The 21,716-nt window shown below is 39.2% G+C and overlaps 1 protein-coding gene across 25 annotated transcripts in view, besides 1 other annotated feature; it reads left to right on the top strand.

The window, feature by feature from the left end:
• Window positions 1-21,716, top strand: part of EBF1 (EBF transcription factor 1) — a 403,997-nt gene that overhangs the window by 365,372 nt on the left and 16,909 nt on the right. For all 25 annotated transcript variants that reach the window (NM_182708.3, NM_001324108.2, NM_001324106.2 and 22 more), the window contains 3 exons: window positions 3,388-3,476; window positions 20,363-20,428; window positions 21,398-21,575. In NM_182708.3, the coding sequence (NP_874367.1) occupies window positions 3,388-3,476; window positions 20,363-20,428; window positions 21,398-21,575 (333 nt within the window). The remainder of the gene's footprint in view (window positions 1-3,387; window positions 3,477-20,362; window positions 20,429-21,397; window positions 21,576-21,716) is intronic.
• Window positions 16,828-18,129: an enhancer, noted in NCBI's record as "VISTA enhancer hs813". NCBI's record gives its function as "enhancer in: midbrain (mesencephalon)[3/9]" and the evidence as "EXISTENCE:transgenic organism evidence [ECO:0001131][PMID:17130149]".

Here is a 21,716-nt window from a genome sequence, read left to right as displayed (position 1 = left end):
TGAAATAAATATACCATTCTTTATGATTCCTCCCTGTTACCCTCTCTGTTGATTTTCAGAGAGTTTATGAATAGTCACATATTTATACAACTGGCCAAAAGTATACTACTTATTTTTCTTATGGTCTGTAATAACCTATGCAAGGTTATTAAAGGGTATACAGACCCCTCTTAAAGCATAGTTTCTTATGTCATTACTTTATACAAGCAGGTCAAATTCCATCTCAGCAACAATCTCTTGCTCTTAACCTTTTTCTCTGATTATATAAGTAATATATGTTCATTGTGGAAAATTTAGAAAATTCACAGCAAAAAGAACAGGAAGAAAAGCACTTTAAGACCCGCTACTTAGAAATAACTACTATTTGGCAGTTTATACACAGACATATTTTCTTTATTCTATATATGTTTGTTTAAAAAAAGTAACTATATTGTACACATGCTCCTGTAATCTACTTTTTAACCAAGCAATATATCAGTAAATATTTTTTCCTATGGCATTGCTTTTGAGGATGGCATCATATTCTATTCCATGCGGGTGCCTTAAATTAACCATCCCCCACTTCCCAGATGTTTAATATATTTTTTGTGGGGGCAGTTAAAATAACAGTCTTTGTCAGATGGCTCCCCCACAGTCAGTAATTGGTTTACTTTTTTTCTCTAGTCAATGCAATCAGATAAATCATCAGGTTCCTTTGGATTTAGGACAGTGAGCTTTGTCTAGCATCTTTAATGTTAGCTTTGTCTGCAGCACTGGACGATTCCATTGTAATATTCAATACCTGTATTGAGGGCAGGTTAACTTGTTTAAAGCTATGAACAGACAGCAAATCATAAAGGCATGGGACATAAGTTAAAAGCCCTTGCCTTACTATTTAAATATTTCCTCTCTCATAGTACACGTCCATGGAGTAAATCCTTATTTTTCTTTGAATAATGAGTTTAATATGTCTAATTCAATTACTCTGTGGCAGCCGAATGACTTCTCTTCAGCTCTTTAGCTATTAGTTCCATATGATATTTGAATTGGTTCTTTTAATTGCTGATATTGTCGGTCATTCCTCTGTGAGCTGGCCATATAGCCGGAGAAACATCTCTCTCCCCGCCATACATCAGACAGTCATTCAATTAACAACCATGAATTTCTAGACACAATAGGAATTCATTATGCTAATGATTGAAGTGGTGGGGCAACAATTCAAATTTTACTGGTATCTTAGACTGAAAAGTAAAACCAAGAATTAGAATTTTCAGGATGCTGAATTATGTTTTCAGATATTAAAATGATGCATTTAATTGTCTAAAGCTACTATTTATGGTTAAACATTTTTGTTGGCAATTAGCATTATGGGTGGGGGTGGATATTATAAATAACTTAAACCTTGGTGCTCATTCCTGTCTCTCTCATGCATCTCTTGATTAAATACAGTGGATTTTACAAGTTGCAGCTTCCCTGCCTAAAGAATTCTATGGCATTTTCTCTACAAGTCTAATTTGAAAAAAGAATTCTTCTCAAGGGTTTAGAAAGTAATTCATAAAATGGAAGGAATAATAAATATTGTGCCTTAACTCATATACTAGTATAGATAGAAAGATTTGATACACCTGGGTGTAATTTTAGTTAATTTCCACAAGAGACAGGTTGAAAGTTTACTGTTTGGAAATGGGGGGAGGGTTAACTAAATCTCATATTTGCAAAAATGATTACATTATCTTAAATGAAAATGCCACTCTATTAATGACTTCAATAAGCATTGCATTTGGGGGAAAAAAATCTTTCTAATAAAAAGTTACCTAAAGTTCACTCTAACTTAAAATATACAAGTGAAGAAAAAGTACTTACTCTGATTTATGTGTCTTTTGGAGGTGTAATTATTGGCTTTTTACTCACCTGTGTAAAACAATGTACTTTTGTAAATGGATTTCTGGCCACTTTATGCAGCTTTTTTTTTTCCTTACATAAAAAGTAAGCACTGTCAATCAAGGAATTTTAAGGTTTATTTCCTCTTTAGAAATGATTGATAGCCTTTTAGATTTACAAGTTGACAAGTTAAAGAGTTCTATTGGTATAATTATGTACTAAATTCACAGTCTTTCAATTTAAATGTCCTTTTAAAACCACAAGATTATCATACCTGTATTTTGAAAAGTGGGCCAGTCAGTTTGGGTTGGTATACAAATTGCTTCCATTAGCCTTGGGACCTATTTGAATTTAATACAGTTTTTTAAAGTTAGTACTAGTATGAATCTTACTTTTAAAATTTAGGTTAATGGAAATGCATTTTAAGCAAAACGTGTGGCAACTTGTTTTTTAATGTATAGCTAAATGTCAGAACTACACAGACTGTCTTTTTTATTCAGCATGTGAGAAAATACATGGTTGAGCACTTTGATTACACTAAAAAAGACAAGAAATTTTAAAAAAACACCCACCTACCCCTTACTTAGAGAATATAGGGATGTGGAGGCTATGGATAGGAGCTGGAGCTGCCGTGTTTTCCATCTCCGCTGTTTCACGTGAGACAGCCTGAAGATATTTCACATACCAGGGAGAAATTTTGAAAATGATAGACCAGAGTCCACTTAATATTGTGTTTAATTTAAGGATGCTTTAAAGAGTGTGTAGTCAATGTGCACACAGCAAGGTCCATTGTCTCCAAATGTTATTCCAGGTTTGCTCTTCTTTTGGTGTTTTCAAGGATTATTCTTGGAGACTCGGCTGCTCTAAGCTAGTACTTCACAGATGCTGGTCCCAAATAATATCAATGTTGGTGAAAGGATCTATCATTTCAGATGTGAGAGTTTTGAATCAGGGCATTTTCAATACCCATCCCTTTGCAGACTCTCTCAAGGGTGGCACTGGCTTTCCATACCTCAAAGATTCACTTCTACTCACTCTCCTCTACTCTCACCAGCCTCTTGCATGCTTATTTGTGCTGAGATATTGTATCAGCTGAGGTCCGCTAAGGATTTTGCAGTTAAGCAGATACTTTTAATTCTCCTGCTGTTTACAATGTATAGATACCACCAGGCAAGCCCTTGAGTGCTTTTACCTGAGCAACTGAATTAAAGTGGATACTAAAAACCTCACATCAAATACCATTTTACTTTCTATTTATGATCATGTAAGGAGTGTAGAATTTGGCCAAAGGAACACTGTTCAAGACCTACTCCTAATGTTCTTTTGGGCGGGTCACTCCCCACCGTGGTATAAAGCAGATGGTGGAAAGTTTAGCCAAGAGATCATTCACACAACCATCTTGTGATCCAATTCAAAAGTATCAGTTAAACTTTGGACTTCCTGGTTATTTCCACACCATTAGTGTTGCAAGCCATGTTCAGCTTTATTTCTTGAAAATGTACTAATTGTGTGACTTCTTTATTGCAGCGCTCAACGAACCCACCATCGATTATGGTTTCCAGAGGTTACAGAAGGTCATTCCTCGGCACCCTGGTGACCCTGAGCGTTTGCCAAAGGTGAGGATACTGCCTTTTTGTAATTCCTGAAAATTTGGACTTGAGCGATTTGCAGAAAACTCTGCTGCTGATAAAAATTAGTTCACAGGTAAACAACTCATATTTTTGTGTTTTGTGTGTTTGGTGCTGTAAGGTAAGCAATAATAAAAGTAGCAAGCACTTATGTGCCAGGCAACACTGTGCTTACTTTTATATCTGTTATGCCATTTTATCCTCTCAACAATGCTCTGATGTTGGTATTATTACCATTCCTATTTTAGAAGAGAAAATAAGCAAGGAGAGATTAAATAATAATTTGCTCAAGGTCACATAGCATGTAAATCGCTAAACCAAGATTTGAACCTATGCAGCATGGCCCTAGAGTCTGGGCTACTTAATCGCTACATCTTACCAATTCTCAAAAGAAAAAGCAGCACCAAATTTCTGTCTACGAGGATCCGTACTTAGTCCTGGCAAGAGGAGAATAGTTAGAGCTCAAAATGTTTTGGTAGATCTTGAGATTGGGCAAAGACAACCTCTCTTCTCCTAAGGCATTCTACCTGGTTGGGAAAATAGGCACAAATATGAGAGAAATTAAACAAAAATTCAAGACAGAGTCATATATGTCACCAATACATCATTAATTGCCAGTGCAGAAAGAAGGAAACTGACCTTTATTGACTATTGCATACCTGTTGTGAATGTTTGGGATATCCCCATCCCTGTACCTGAGGAACTTGGGCTTTATGTGGGAGAGAATCCCAAACACAACTAATCATAAAAATAATAGCACATTAAAGAAAAGTGCAACCAACGTTCTGTGAGGACTCAGAGGAGAGGGCAGTTAAATGCGAAGGAAGTTCAAAGTACAGAATTCGTTGAGCTTGCATTCACTGTTTACTGACGGCAAAAAGCTTCATTTATTACACAAGTGAAAACTATTAACATTAAATTGAATTAGTAGTTTCAAGGACTCTTTCTTGCCACAGTAAGTCTAGAGATATGCCATTTCTAGGTTTATGTATCCGTGTAAAACACTTGCAAAAATGAAGTTGCCATCCTTCTTAGCTTGGTGAACCTCCTTGGAGTATCAGTTCGTCATCAAATCCTACCCGTGTGCTGGCTGCCCTTGTAGGCAGGGCCACCTGTCAGAACTGGCCCTGTCTGGGAGAAATCCACCCCTCAGGCCACTACACAGAGGTGAGGCGCATGGAGAGGAGGAGCGCTAACTGCTCCGGAGAGGAAGGACTGTGATGAGCAAGGGCCTGTGTCCTGCATCTTGACTTTGAGGGAAAAACACCTTCAGTTTTCAGAGATGATGCCTTCAGTTTCAAGCTTCAATTTCCAAGAACAACCTCACTTCCACTGAAGTGCTGTCCTTCCCTTTCCTTTTCCACCCCAATTTATTCTTGGTAAGCAATTAAATCATCTACAGGTTATTTAATATTATTTAGTAGATTAAATAATCTAACTATAATAATAAACAGCAGTCTCCACCCATGGTATAGATGGTCTGTGGAGAGATTTACCATTAGGTTCCTCTGTCTAGCAAGAACATGGTCCCGTGCATTTCCTATGGGACAACTGGTAATTTTATAGCACGATGATATAAATGATGTGGGTCTGACTAATGGTAGGTGCCTTAGCTGTCTTCGTGCTAGAACAAAGGCAGGGGTACAATGCCAGATTCTTCCCATTGTTCCCAGTGAGGAACATTTGGGCACTGTATTCACTTTATATTTAGCACTTGCTTTACCATTTGATCTCTAGAGTCCACTGGAGGTATTGAGGAGAGTCAGGTTGGACAAAGTGGAATTCAGACATTGGCCACTTGCTAGCTATGCAACCTAGGTCAAAATTGTTTACCTCTCTGTGCCTCAATGTCCTCATCCACTAAATGTGGATGGTGCTATGTTGTACCTTTTCGAGTTTTATTACAATGACTTATTTAGCAGCCAACAAAAGGTAGCTATGATGATTTGCCAGTTGAGTGAGAATGGGACCCTTGCTTCTGAGAGCTCTTCCACCCAATCTCTGCAGAGCAGGAAATCCTAATCCTGGTGAGCAGTTGAACATGTGATTTCTCCTCTGTGCCTCAGTTTCTTCATTGATAAAATGGGGATAATTAATCATGCTAACTCATAGGGGATCATGTAAGGATAAAGAGGTCATCTCATGGGTGCCCTTGGCATAGCATCTGGCCCATAGTTGCCACTTTAAAAATACTTATCGAGCAGTGGCTCATGCTGGTAATCCCAGCAATTTGGGAAGCAGAGGTGGGAGAATTGCTTAAGGCCAGGAATTGGATACTAGCCTGGGTACCATCACAAAACCCTATCTCTACAAACTAAAAAAAACGTTAGCTAGGCATGGTGGTGTGTGCACGTAGTCCAAGCTACTTGGGAGGCTGAGGTGGAAGGGCTGCTTAAGCCTAGGTGGTCAAGGCTGCAGTGAGACATACCTACCATTGCACTCCAGCCTGGGTGACAGAGCCAGAAGACCCTGTCTCAAAGAAAAATAGAAGACAAATCTGGTTTAATGGTTGAGGTCTACGGAAACCAGACAGTTCTTTTTCTTATAAGAAAGGAAAGGAGAGAAATGGGAATCTAGGGTTGAGTTTTGTGTACTTACTTTTGAAAACACTTTTATGGTTGCATGTTATGTTCAGAAATGTTGAACAAATAGCATAGGCACGTGTCACTTTGTCCCTGATGGTAAAATTCCCAACCCTTTTTTCCTGGGTTTGGAAAGAGTAATCAAGGACACAATGGATTTGTGTGTTAAGGAAACACTCCACGGCTTGCATCTAGCCACTTGATCGTGCAAGGGCTGGCCGGAGCCCACCCCAGGAAGCTCTCAGTGTGACTCAGAGCCGAGTGGCTGTCCTCTTGGCTTTGAATGTTAAAGTGGAGCGAGAGTTCAAGGGCAGGGTCAGGAAGTGGCGGATGGAGCCAGCACAAGGTATTCCTGTGGACTTGGGAGATTTATACTCCTGCTGTCCATTGTTAGGGAGATAAAAATGGGCTGCGCCTTTCTTAGGATCATGGTCAGTGTTTGTCAAACAGGAGTGTTTCAGTGAGCTATGGACCACACACCTTAAAAAACAAACTCCTCTTTATTAAACCCATGTGTTTGTGAATAGACAAAGCTAGATTCATACAACCACCCACACATTCTGTCAAATGAAACTGCTCCAAAGACCAAGCAGACAGCTTTCCATAATAATATGCCTTTGTATACAGGCATGTGCTTTTTCAAAAAAACTTGGACGTGCTTTGTTTTATTGGAGTCCCTCCTGCGAGAGAGGCTGGGCAGCAGACATCTTTACCATTTACCAAATAGGAAAACGGGAGCAAGCGGAATCCTGCTCTGTAAATTATTTTGTCCCTGAAAGTCACCATCAGTGATAGTTGCTGTACACACAAATTTAAAATACTGTGATTATGCTAACCCCAGATGTTTTTTGGTTTCCTTTTTCATATACACAGGGAGAAAAGGGCAGGCTAAGGTTTTTAAATCACAGCATTCTGTTCTGTTTCATACAGTTTCGCCTTTCTCTCTGGATCCTGGCAGGAAGGGGAGGAACATGTGACCAACTTTGAGGTCAAGGTTGACTTTTCTTATAATTTAGAGGTGGAGGGGATGGGGAACATGGTCGATCAGAAATTCTGAGATGCTGATGGCCGCAGTGATGCAATCCAGACACATTGGGCAAGGAGCGCTCTCTGTGTTCAAGGTCAGAAATGTCTCCGCCCCCTTGCAGTTTGTTAGTTGCCTTCGTGAGTGGTCAGTGAGCCTTAGCCCTAAGGCAGTGAGTGAGAGTGAGCCCTGAGCTTAGCTGGCGTCAGGCGTGTCAGCTGTGAATCCTAGGAAGCAAGGAATGTTTACTTCATGCCTACTGTGAGCCCAGCACTGCATTATTAAGGTTTTCGAAGATCATAGAGGCCAAGAGAGTGGGCTCTCAAGTCAGAAGGATGTGCGTTTTGGAAACATGATCCCCTACTTGGTACACATGACTCAACCTCCCATGCTTCAGGTTTCTCCTCTGTAAAGCAGCTGCCTCACGGCATTGTTGTCAGGTGTTAATGAGATAATTTATGCCAAGAGGCATCCCTGGCATCTAGCAAGACTCCAGTAAATGGGGGCCACTAATCCCTGCACTGTGGGTGTTCCCCATTTTACAGATGAGAAGTTAGAGTCCCCAGAGATCTGAGTGACTTGCTACGACATCACAGCTAGCACGCGGGAAAACTACCATTCATTCAAACTCAGGCCCTCAGGGTCGGTAGCCTCACTGCCGTCACTATGTTGAGTTCCCACTTCTCCTGCCTTGAGGTGTCTCCTCTGCAGACACCTGACACCTGGCCCCCATCCTTATGTAGATTCTCACCAGCTTTCTCTCATTTCCCTACTGAGAAGGCTTGGCCTGGGGACCTTCTCAGGGCCAATGTCTTTTCTCCAAGAGCCAGCCCCTCTTTTAGAGAAAATAAAGCAGTTTGGGAAAAGTAACAAAGGCTGCATTTGTGTATTTTGCTTTATGGAGCTGAAAATATCTGGTAAATTGATCCAGTGGGAGTAATAAATACACATTACTTTATCTTGTTCTTCATGTCCTATACCCCTGAGCCTTGATAGAACACCACCACTTAATAGACTTAAAAAAGAGTAATTACACTCATTGGTTGTGTGATTTTTCAGCCCTCCCAGCCCTGCCTGACCTTCTAATTTAGCTCACCGTGTCTAACTAATGCATTTATATTCATCTTTTATGAAGCATGTATAGTACAGAATTGACTTCAGAGCCTTTTTCAAGCTGTCCTCCTAGGTCCCCAATCTGGTTAGTAGTAAGGAGAATGGGAGCTATCCATCTCTATGTTGGTAGGTATAGATAACACGTAGACATGGCTCAAAGCATTTTTTATCCTTTATGAAACATAAAAAAAGTATTTATTACATTTTTACTTTAAAGCTTTTATACATTCGAGCATTATTTACAGCTAAACATGCAGGCAAAAGATGCGAGTGTTTTTAAAATGATTACTGTTAATGTTTCTGCTTGTCAGAAGTGCTTAAATTTTCCTGCACTTTGTCTAAAAACTTAGTACTGTTGCCTTTTAAGAACAACACATTTAAAAGATCTTGCAAGTCAGATTTGCAAACACTGCTGACAGTTTGTGATGAATGATATTGCAAAATTTGCAAGATGTTTGTCATTTCACACAGCCGACATATTAAGGAACGGATTAAGAAACGTGAAACCCCTATGGAAAACAACCATCCCAAACAAACCTCCGCCAAACCTTGAACCCAGAGAGCACACCGGAATCTCTCACCCGGGTTTTCTCTCCCAACTTCCCACTCAGCCAGTGGAACCCAATTGTTCTCAGTGCATTTTCTCTCACCATATGGTCTCCTCATTACCATACACTAAGAGTCCATATGGGAAACTTGTGAAATGAACTGCATTCATTTTAACTGCCAGATGAGCAGCCTTTTGCTTTGCAAGCTTAGCTTAAGTCATCTGCTGTCTTCATGTTGTTATGGCAACACAGCACCAATAAAAAATTCTAATCTACTGTAAGTGATCACAGTATTTTAAGTGCTTGCCTATAACTGCCCTCAAAGGGGAAGAGAGAGGAGGGTTCTATTTGTCCAAGGAGCAAAAAGTTGTTGTTCATTCCAGCAGGTGTCAGTAAAGAAGTCAGTGACATGGGGATTGAAGTACCAGTGTGGCTGGCTGTGCAGTAGGTTGGAATTATAAGGGAGGTGAACACCAGTGGGGTGGATGGTGGGAAGGAGGGGTTGTGGACCCTTTTGGTGGGTCTCCAAAAGCACATTGAATGTCAAGCACCATAGTATCTCTGGCAGACATGCTACTCTGGTGGTGCTGTGTGGCCAGCCTGCCGTGAAGGAACTCAAGGCTTCCTTGGAAATACAGAGGTAGCAAATCCTCACGGTAGCTTCTCCTTCACTGGCATTCGAAAATCTCAGTCTCTATGAAGTGGCTCTCCCTGTACATGTGAATTAGTCATTTCAAACACCAGGCTAATTAAGAGTACCTTAAAGTAATGGAAGTAGGCAGCAACATCCTTAAATATAAATCATTTTCACCTCTGCTGGCCACATGATATGTTGCATCTCTGTCGCTCTATCTATATTGAAAGTGAATGTTTATAGTCTCAGTTCATCAGTTCACATTAGCCTCATGCTGAATATTTAAACACAGAACAATTTGAACACACCATGAAGGAAGACAGTGACTGCACTTTCATTTGGAACAGCAAGGGCTCATCTAATAATAATTTAGTAAATCAGCCATTTAGTGGCTCAGTTGTGCACTGCATTGTGCCAAATATTATTCACTTCAACTGTACACTTGCAAAATTGAAATTCAGACTCCAGTCACAGGCACTGTTTTTGCTCAGTGGAGAGACGAGACCTAAAATCACCCTCCCTAAAGAGCATTCATGTTTAGTGATTTATCATAAATACAGAGCTGGGGCAAAATAAAACTGGAGTTGGCTGTATACAATGTATTCTAATTATGCTTTTATTGTTTTAGTCTTTATGCAAAGACTATCAGTAATTCAAAACCTGCAGTTGCATCAGTGAAAATACAAATAAGATATCTTTGCATAACCACGTTGCCTCCTAGCAGAAAGGGAGATGACTAAGGGTTTCAGCAAAGGATGAAGAACGACTTAACATCTTCATCTTCCACACTGACACTAGCCTCTCTCTCACTCTCACTATCTCTCTTTCTCTTTCTCGTGTATTTACTTTTTTAATTTGAGGAAACTCGATTAACATTATATCCTGAAATGAAAGTGACCCTCCTCAGACGAAAACACAGAAACAAATGGCAAATCTTATGGTATATTCAGCTCTTAGAAAAAACATGCCTGAGTTTGATTCCAGGAAACATCTCTGCATTCTCTTGTCAAAAACACAAGCTATGGAATGCTGTCCATTTCCCCCACTCTCTCCTGTATCTACCAGAAAACTTACAGGCAGATTCCATTTCCCCATTTGATAATATGCTCAGTCTAGGGGCTTGGTATCCACTACTACTTATATTTCTTTTTATCCAGGGAGTTTAGCCTGGATCTGTGTACCCCTGAAATTGCATTTAGAATTCCTGTGTGTGTGTGCGTGCATGTGTGCGTTATGAACATGCACACACAAATGCCTGCACATGTAATTTATCTGGGGAAAGAAGTTGTAGCCTCAGTAAAAAGGCCGATGACCCCCATGAAAGTTGTAATTCTCACCTCTTTAAGTTATTTATCTTTAGCTGACTTATTTTGCGGCAAATGCTTCTGCTTGTCATTATTGTTTCCTTCCCAATTTAGAGATGAGGAAACTGAGATTTATACAGGACAAGTAACCTTCTCAAGCTTATGCAGCTAGTAAGTGGAGGTTTCCTAACTTCCCATACTTCCTAACCAGTAATCCATTTAGAGTCTTTTATAGAGTTTTGAAAATAGGATTATATCTCAAACATAGCACTCAAGGCACGCAATACACATTGACTGTAAGAATGCATATATTTTGCCAGAGTTCCTTGGAAAATAAATGGGGATTATTAATAATATTGCTGGTTATTGCCTGATAAGCACTAACTAAATATAATCTACTAAACCAGGTGTTGGTATTAACTCTGTTTTACAGATGAGGACACAGAGGCATGTGTTTACGCTGCTAATACATCGCAGAACATGGATTTGAGCCAAGTCTATTGGACTCCAGATCCAGAGCCTATATCCCCTAAGCAGTGCCTCCCAGAATTAAGAGATTTTAAGAAAAAAAGCCAATTTACAAAATCAGTCTTAAAACCCTTCCAGCCTGGTTAGGGAAGGAGGCAAGTGGTGGCCTAGACCTGAGGTTAGCTCACAAAGGGCTGAGCTAGGTGGAAGCGGCAGGAAGAATTCACATGTAAATGCAGACAAACCCTGGGTACCATGCTTTCCCTCTTTAGCTGCAGAGTCATTGTGGGAGGGACTTGCAGTAACCGTTATCCAATAGCTCAGTGCTGGAACTCTTTCGAGTTCCTTTTTAGCACTGAGTTCTTGATGGGGAGGACTAAGGGTAACTTACTTCATATCATACCCTGCATACAGGGGCATTGAACATAATTACTCATTAGTTCAAGGGTAGGTGACAGGAGAACCAAGAGGCAAACTCATTTCTACCTCCAGCCACCCAACATCCTCCCCTTAAAGACTGAAGCCCTTAGGAATGGAGATGCTTGGAGGTCTTAAGCCTTGCTCACTATTTTCAGCCCTGAGTAACACTTCAGTGGAGCATTAGAGTAATAAGTACCAAGCCCCAACAGTCTTGAAGCAGTGGATTTTAATTGCAGTTATACTCAGGACCATCTGTAAAGGCTTGAGAATTATCATTTACAGATATCGTTTGTCTGGAGATACATATGATAACCGATGATGTTCATGCTCAACAGTTGAAGAAGCAAAAGCAAATTATATTTTTGCCTCCCTTATGTATCTATATAGTATGGGAACGTGTCACTCAAGTTTCCCTATAGTATACGTCCAAAAATATAAATATGCACGTGCATTTGTATACACACACACCAAACATACAAACACATCCACGTATGTGTACATGACAAATACATCTCTTTGTTTACTGAGCAGTCCCTCTACTTTTAAGCTCGGTATTTATTCAGCCTTGGCTGAGGGAAAGAAGCCACAGCCAAAAGACAAAGAGAAACAGAAGTAGTTAATTTTTGGCTTTTTGTGTTTTCTAAAAGCCCAGGCCTTGGCGACTTAAAGGTGACTTAAAAGATTTTCAAGGGTAATTTTGACTCTAGGCCGTTTTTGTTTCATGTGCTGACTTTACAACCTACCCCTGAAAAAGGCATCTCTGTCCAGAGCTTTCTCTTTAAGCAGAGACTTTTATCCTGATCAGAAAGTCGATTTCCAAGGCACTCAGCAGGACCTAACCCACAGCGTTGGTCTTAAACCAGTACAATGAATTGGAATAAGAAGATCCCGCCAGAGGTTACCAAGTTCAGCTCTGTACCTCCAAGCAGGTCATAGTCAACAAGGGTGCAGACACCATTTTTCACTGTATCTGTGGCGGGAAGCACCCCAGGCTCCCATTCACCAATTACCATGACACCATTTAGAAGAAAATGCCAGGAGACCAAATAAAAAAAAAAAAGGGAGGGGAAAGCCATTGTCATAACTCTTCTCAGAAATACCTGGTTTCACAATTTATACTTAACTGCTGACACTTGAAAAGTCGAACATTTTGGTAAAATGAATCAAGCTGTAATGTTTCTTTTATGAGATCCCCTTGCAGGAAAGGGAAGCTTGGCACCTCATGGAGCCCAAGCTTAGTTATCCATCATAGTAAAGTCAGCTGTCCTAGCCAGCTTCTCAGAGGTCACACGATCGAACCAACAGCTCTTACAACTATATTATTGCTTACGGGACAGTAATTGAGGCACCAGATAAAAATTACCTGGTCTAATAGGCAGCGAACAATTTTCACTCAATAAAATTATGAGCCAAATCATTTATTTCATAACACTCTGGCTAATTTATTTGTTGACCTTTTAATATCCATAGCTCCTCAGTGGTATTAACTGCAACTCAGACAAAATCTCTTGTTCATTTCACTTTCATTGATTTTTTTTTTCCATTGTGGCAATAACAGTTGCTTGAAAACAGCCTTTCTTTCCATTGTAAAAGTCAATCACGTAAGTTAGTATGTCTTACGTTGATATAGCCGCGTTAGCTTACAACCTAGTTTAATTTCATATGATTCAGAGTCTCCTATACCATGTTTTTAACAAAGGCAAGGCTTTCTGGTTTACCTCCAACCATGCCGCATGCTGGTTCATAATAATATGTTTGAGAAGTAAGAGGGCTGTCATCTAATCTGAACATAAAATCAACTTTAAAATCAGAGGAGGTTCAGAAGAGGTCCTCCTGCTGCATTTTCTCTAGACTAGAATGTTTTTGGTGCCTTGGCCTTTGGTATTAATAGCAGTAGACTCTTTCAAAATATTTAATTCCTTTGTTCTGGAAATGTCTAGAGATTTTTACTGTGGTTTGAATTTCAGTTTTTAAAAAGACTCTGGGCAAAAAGTATGCGCTAGCTAGAATGTTCTGTAGGGCAATCTAAGCTTCAGCTGAATCTTCTTATATACTAAAATACTATGAAGTCTTTAGAATGTGGGGTTGTAAAATATAATTGTTATACATTTGGCATTTTATGCCTCCCTGCAAATAACTACTTGCTACCTATACCTCATTTATGTTCCTCCTTTCCATTTCAATTTACTCTAAAGTGGTCCTTAGCTATAATGAGAATGCCCCTTTCAACAGAAACATGTTTAATTATATCCATGCTAAATGTAAGTGACTCTTCTCAGTCATAGGGCTTCTAAGGAAAGAGTGTTTAAAGTGTGACACTAAAGGCTTCTAATGATCTGCACTAAGCTCTATTTCAAGAAGTTTATATTACAAGAAAAATGAAAAATTTGAGGAATGTCTCAGAGGATGGGAAACTAAACGGTGCCCAAGTGTTATTTTGGTTTGTTTTACTCTTTCCCTCACTGCCCTCATTATACTGATTTTTTAGAATGCAAAGTCTACCATTGTGGAATTTTCCATTTGGCTGAATAAACACAAAGGAAGCTGGGATATAAAACTACCCTCCAAAGAAATACATCTCAGGACAACTAGTATTTATTGCATTGTACATCCAGCTCTGCAGGAAATGGGCTGCAAGAAACTTCCAATCAATTTCTCAGCATTCGGCCTTTCCAATCAGTAATGTCACCCAGGCTTTCAGAAGTCAGTGGGGAAAGATCCAGGACTTAAAGTCTAGGAGCTGAATGCACACATCAAAATCTGGGTCCTGCAGTAAACCCTATACGAAGGAAGGCAGTGAAATCAATGCTGATTTCATTGATAGGTGCTTATCATCTCTACATCAAGAGTGATTTTCTCATTTCACTTCATTGTGTGTTGCTGATATTTGGCCACTATATTTTGAATCCCCTGATAAAGCAAAGTAGATTGGTGATAAATGGGTATCAGGGAAATGTGCAGTGACAGGGAAGTATTGTGCTTCTTTCTCAGAAATCACCCAACTCAACTTGACTTTGATTATGGATGCTTGTAGTTTTTTTTTTCTGTTTCAATCTACATTCCTGAAAACATTTCCTATTTGGGTAAGCATAAAGCCAAGCACAGATTATCCTCTGAAATTACTGAAGCATCCCTGGGCTTTAATTTTATGGGCGGAGTTCCCAGAGTCTCAAAATCTAATGCTGAAACATGAAAATTAATGTTGTGTTCGTGTATGGGTATCTATCAGCTTTATGATCATCAGCCTATATGTGCTATGAACAAAAGAAAGTTCAGACTATCTTCCCTGCTCATCTGGGGTTGAGTTGCCCAAAACATTGAACTGGGTTTATAAATGGGCCCAGTATTGGCCAGTTAGACAACCTTTCCCTTCACTCTAGGAGGCTAGATGTGGCCAGTGAACTTGAGCTTATTAGCTATAGATTTCAGGTCAAAGGCTAAAGAGAAGGACTCCCACAGATGGTGAATAATCCTAAGATTTTTAACTCATAAAATAGAAGATGAGTTAACTATGTCTGCATATTTGTCATGATATGCCTGGTTCCCAATGTGTCTTTCTATGAATGTGCAAATACCTAACTATTTCCAAGGGCCTAAGAGTACAGCTAATAAAAGGCTGAGGACCATAAGGACCAACCTCATGTTGCTAGCAGCCTATAACTTGAGATAATGTCTGTACTAGACATGATTCATTGTATTAATCACAAAATTAAAATGTAAGTCCAAGCCAGCAGGAATGAAAGAGCAAATTCATAAAAAAGTGACATAAAAAAACTCACAGTGATCAAAACTTGACCTTTGGGAATTTATATATTGGATTTAAGAGTCTGTAGCTAAATGGAACACCAAATTTAAGTCTTCTACTTTTATAAACCATGCCAAATATGACTTTGTCATTTCATCATACAAATTAAGTGTGTACTTTTAAAAATCAGTAACTGTATCTTAGAATAACACATCAACATGAATTTCTCAAGACTTGTGGTTTGCTAAACATTATGGTAGGAGCTTAGATAAGGAGATTAAGAACCTATCACTGGCCTCAAAAAGTCTGCAGTCTAGCTATGGAGAATGATGACTAACACACTTCAGATCAGAGCAGAATGACCTCTCAGTATATACTTCTGTGCTGTGCTGGGTGACACAGATGGTCAGCACTCTTTTTCAGAGGAAATAGAGATATTAGGAGCTGGGGTATCAGTGAAGGTGGAATTATTTCTGATAGAACAGTGTGATTTTCAAGAGCCAGGCTCTGATGTCTAACAGGCCTGGGGTTGAATCCATGCTCAGCCACTAGTCAGCGGTGGAAACTTTGGGAAAGTTAGCTGACCTCTCTGAGTGTCAGTTTCCTCATCTGCCAGATAGTAATAGAAAGAATACCTTAAGAGGCTTTCTATGAAGGTTGAATGAGTTCTTGCTCCACTTTCAATAAATGAGAGTGATCTCCTTCATTACCATACCATCACGATCCCCTTCAGTACGAGGCTTCAGAGGATGGAGAGAGGCATTGTCCATGGGCACAGATTGAAGCCAGCATTCCCTCCAAAAAAAGGGGAAGGCAAAAGGAGTGAAGGTATGGAGATAGAAAGGAGCCAAATGTTTTACTTCTAGGCTGGGGAGGACAAGCATAGAGAGCAGTTCTTCAAATACATAGGGAGAGATGACTGGACAAAGATGGTAGGACCAAGTGATGGCGACAATCTTTTGTGACTCTCATCAAACTTTGTAGGTCGATGCTGGGAAGATAATGTGCCCTGAAAGTTGCTGGAGAATAAGATCCACATATGATGACAGACAAGGGCAACAAGAAGCTCAAACAATATTTGCTAATTGGGTTGCAAAGTAGAAAGTAAAGCTGAATCTTCCCTTTATATTTGTAGCCCATTCAGCATTTTTATTATAAAGCTTCCAAAATATAAGTAAAACCCATGCCAGCTACATTTGAACTGTTTCTTGGAACCCCATTCCTCCTTCGGTCTCCCTAACATTTCTGTAGACTCTAAATAGAGTAAGAATAATGCATCCACATTTTTCTCCATAGAACCCCACTCACATAACCATCAACCTATGGTCATAGCAAGACAGGTGAAGCCACGTTTTGATAGTGAGATGAAATCAATCAGTGAAAAGTAGTTGTTGTTTTTAAGGAGTAAAGCTTTTTTGTATCTTTAAGAGAGAAGAAATCCAAGGCCATGAGCAGAAAAATTGTCTGACTCAGAATGTAGATTGGAGAACAAACATTACCTCTACAAGGAGACTCTGGGGCTTTTCAATATTTAGGATACTAGTATTTGTCTTTAATTCCCAAAAGGGATTTTTAAAAAAAAAAAATCCAAGGATAGGATTAATTATCTTGGAATTGTCTAATATCCACTCTTATGTTTGAAATTGCAAGCAGGGAGACGTTTTAAACATTATGAAAAGAAGAGAAAATCTCCCCTGACAAATAAATGCCTTGAAACATTAGATATTAGTACTAGTCAAGTGCTCTTTCTTTTCAGAAATATTAAAATTGCATATTAAAATGAAAGATCCTTAGACTGTGCTCCTGCCTAATGCCACAAAAAATAAGAATTTAAGAACAATTTTAGAGACAAAAGATTATATGAAACATCCAGCTCTTCCCCTTATGGGAAATTTCTTTTTTTAACATCCAAGGCTCAATCATTTCCTAATGTGAAATTACAGATTTTTCAAATTACCATATAAAACTGCAAAAAAATTACACTTGTGACCACAGAAGAGATGGCATACACTATCAATTTGATTTTAAAAGGCATACATCTTTTATACTACCTGTCATTTTTATAATGCCTTTTACAAATTTAATCAATACATTTTAACATTCTATATACTTTAAGTGCAATATACAATAAATATTCAAGTTTCATCTTAAACATGCTTTAGCCTTTAAATTGTTAAAACTGCAGTGCCCTTTCAATCTACTTACATAATGTCATAAAATATACATTTCAAGGTAAATGAAGTCAGCTACTTCAATTTAGTCCCTCAAACTGGTAGTAAATGAGAGGTTAACACTATGGTGCCAAACCCATTATTGAGTAAATTTAGCACCTTGGACAGCTCTGTAAAATCTTTATTGCTTTCCTGACCTGCTCGTCATGTTCTGTCTGTGTGTTCAGTGGCTCTCAGCTCTGATTGAAAGGCAATATATTAGATCCCCAACACAAACACGCCTGGGGGCTAGTTCACTGGGAGCGTAATGACATGGAGGTGAGAGCAATTTTCTGGTCACCGAAATCCAAGCAGTTTGCAGGTCCATTGCACTAACTCATGGAGGACCCAGAAATTTCCTTTCTCCTTCCCATTTGCAGAAATACCTAATAGAAGCCAAATCACATGGGCAAAGCTCAACCAAGTCTTTCTTAAGTCCTTACAAGTTGATACTACAGTGAAGGATATTTTTTAATGGGTAAGATATTATTTAAGGGTGTCCCTTTCAAGACAAGAAATCCAGGTTCACACTCCTCAAATCCAAGACTGCTGGCCTGAAGTGATGCTGTACTGATGACCTACCTATGGCAATGTACTCAATGGGAAAACATGCCCCAGCATGGTGGATCAAAGAAGGCAGCATCATGGATCAAAGAAGGATGCTCCTTTAGGAAACAAGATCCACGTGTTTTATTCTCAAAGGATTAAATGGGGATGAGAGCTCTGGATATCGACATAAGGAGAAAAAAAAAAGTAGATTTTGTCATTGAAAAACTCTATCACCAAGGATATATAATATATACTGATAGATGGTATGTTTTCAGGCTTATGAAAACTTCAAAGATCTTGGAGTTTAATTTTGAACTTCCCTCCTCCCTGCTTCTGTGAAATTAATTAAAATAAGGTACACTGCTCTAAGTCCTCAATTATAGTGTTACAAGAGTGAAGTTCACAAGTGCAGTTTCTTTCTGTGCCTCATCACGCTTTTGACAAACGGGAGACTTGCCTTTTTCCCCCCTAAAATGGAAAGAAAGGAAAATACGTTCCCTGCCAAGCCCCAACACTGGCATAAATATTTATTTGGAGAAATAAATGAACATAGGCCTAGAGAAGTCTAATCTTAGTAAATAAACTCACTTGATCCTGTTTTTTGTTTTCATCTTTCCTAAGAGCCAGATAAAGCCAAGAGGTTTTAGTGAAGGCAACACAGGCTGAATTTGATCTGGGGATAGGGTTTAGTGTGCCCGTACAATAGTAAATTATTAACTGCTGTGGTCAGACACTACTACAGCAAACAAAAAGTGGTAAATTAGCTTGTAGCTTACATTAAAAAATAAAGAAATGATTTCAGATGTATTGGTTCAAATCCCTTTGATTATATAATGTTCTTTACTCCCTACATGAAAAATAACTAAACTGTTTTATAAAGGGGGTCTATCAGCTTAAGGCAAGCATAAATGTTTATTGAGAACTGAAAACCCCACTATCTTATTTTTGAATTTAGGACATTAGATATGTCATAAGTAGTTACTGTAGTATGACAACTACTTTATCTTATATTATAGAGAATTTAAAATTGAAAAATGCTAATATGTATCTAAAAGCTTGTCATTTCAAGAGTTGTTCAAGGATTTTTGAAGAGGCTATGATGACAGCAAAATGAATGCGATTATCTCCCTATTTTCTGATCAGCGACTGCAGTCTGTGAAAATTGAACAGCACTGCTTCTCCATGTAGAAATCTATTGTGTAAAATATTTAAAGTTACACTTCTGTTTGAAACTTTACCCACAGTCAAAAATGGTAAACATATCTTCATGCAAATCACCTCTGATGATCCTACCACACCCTTACGTTTGGTTCTCTGACAAGCCCCTACCTTTTACATGCATCAAGCTTAACTTTGCTTTTCTTTTCACATTCTAGTGGAAATGAATCTGAAGAAAATTAGGGAAAAATGAAGAGAGAGATTTCTTTTAGTTAGAACCAAAAATATTAGCACCACACTCACTTTGTAGAGTACTCCCTATTATTAGAACCAAGCATGCAGGCTAAATATGGAGGTCCACCTAAGTAAAAAGAGGGAGATATTTTTCCTTCAACTGGAATGAGTAGCCAAGCATCTATCTAGGATGAGAATGAATGAGCAAATGGGGGAAATCACACAATACTGAAATAGCAAATAATTGCTATTAAAGAAATAGATACTGCCAGTAATGAAAATTGGTGCAGAGGGGGCCTCTGAGGACAGTAGAGTCCTTTCATAAGAGTTTTTGACAAACAGTGCATTGCCTCAGTATGTGGGTTTCCTACATCACCCTCTTATATTATGTCTCTACCATCCAAGAGAGATAAACAAAAGAAGTTTAATACTACATGCTTCTAGTAGCTGAAGATTGATTGGAAATCCCTCGAAAATGACCTGTCTGATAAGGTCATGGTTACTGGAATAAGCAATTAAGTGCAAAATAAACACATCTTAGGGATTCATACCACGACTGAATGACATCAATTGTAGTAATCTAGTAAATGACCTAGGAATTGTATTCAGCAATAAACATATGAGTGCTTTATCATGCCTATGGCAGACTATTGAGTGATGTATTTTATCTCGCAGTACCAATGATGCTCACCTTTTGACTCAATTAAGTGTGTATGTGAACAGGGATAAATTGGTGATTTAACACCCTTCTGGGGTTCCCCAAGCTACGGCCTTTATAGCAGTGCCTTGGCAAAGTATGGCCAGAGGGACTGGAATGTGATCATGTCAAAAGATAACGACAACCTGCCTTCACTCAAAGGATTGTATCTGCTTTTCTCTTGACAGGAAGTAATACTCAAAAGGGCTGCGGATCTGGTAGAAGCACTGTATGGGATGCCACACAACAACCAGGTGAGCGCTGTGGGTGTCTAGCCTGTGTGGACTGCCACATGCAATTAAAGATCTCAGATTCCTCATCGTAATGAGAAAGCACAAACAATATAAAAGCCATGTGCATGAGTTAAGAGTATAAGTAATTCAGATATAACATGTTGCAAGATGATTCAATCCTCTTTTGTAAACCTTTTATTGCCCTTTCCACTGAATCATTTTCTGTATGAGAAAAGGTACTCCATTTAAAACTAATCTTTAGTGGGAACATACTTCCTAATTGAAGAGGAGAGTTACTGGTGCTTTATTTTATTTCTCTCAGGTTTTCAAGCAAATTTAGGAAGAGAAAGAGGGTTTAATTTTTTCTCCAAAAAGTATAGCAAGGCCTGAATAGTATTGTCTGCTTCTGTTTCATAGAACTCCATGTATAAGATTCACATAGCTTAGGAAACTGAGTCTGACAAACCATTCACTCCTTTTTCATGTAGCCTGAGTCAATGTCTGGGGGACACAGTCCCATTAATACTCAGTAATGCAGGTAGTCATCTACAGCCTTCCCTTAACATCAATAGGGGAGGTGAATTGCAGCCTCTCTTCCTCTCCCCCTGGGTAACCTCAGACTTCCTACATGTTATTGGGAAGGATGGAAAACCCCATGGTGCTGTCCTGTATGGACTGTAGGGTAGTATGAAGGTATAGTTAAGATAATGGACTTTCAAAGTCAGACAAATGGGCTTATGAATCTCAGCTCTGTTCTTAAATAGGTGAGTGTACTTCGGTGAGGTTTTTGACTTTCTGAGCCTCAGTTTCCCCATTTCGGATACAGGCATGATGATGGTGAGACTAATATAACAGGTTTGTCATGAGGGTCACAGAAGTTAATGCAGCTGACCATTGAAAACCCTGAGCACGGTACCTGGCACCGAAAAAATGGTATTATTGGGAATATGACTGGGGGCAGCTGAAGGGGATATTCCTTTGACTTTTCAGGAAATCATTCTGAAGAGAGCGGCCGACATTGCCGAGGCCCTGTACAGTGTTCCCCGCAACCACAACCAACTCCCGGCCCTTGCTAACACCTCGGTCCACGCAGGGATGATGGGCGTGAATTCGTTCAGTGGACAACTGGCCGTGAATGTCTCCGAGGCATCACAAGCCACCAATCAGGGTCAGAAGCTTGCTTTTCTCTTCCCTCCCCAACCTTAAGCACCCCATCTCCTCATTTATTGGTCATGAACAATTTTTACATTAAAAAATTATTTTCATCCCAAAAGGGAGATTCTTAGTTTATGTGTATAAGATATTATTG

This window comes from Homo sapiens, chromosome 5 (assembly GCF_000001405.40).
Source record: "Homo sapiens chromosome 5, GRCh38.p14 Primary Assembly".
NCBI classification, from domain to species: Eukaryota; Metazoa; Chordata; class Mammalia; order Primates; family Hominidae; genus Homo; species Homo sapiens.
The sequence above is the reverse complement of the archived record's forward strand: the minus strand, read 5'-3'. Positions and strand labels throughout refer to the sequence as shown.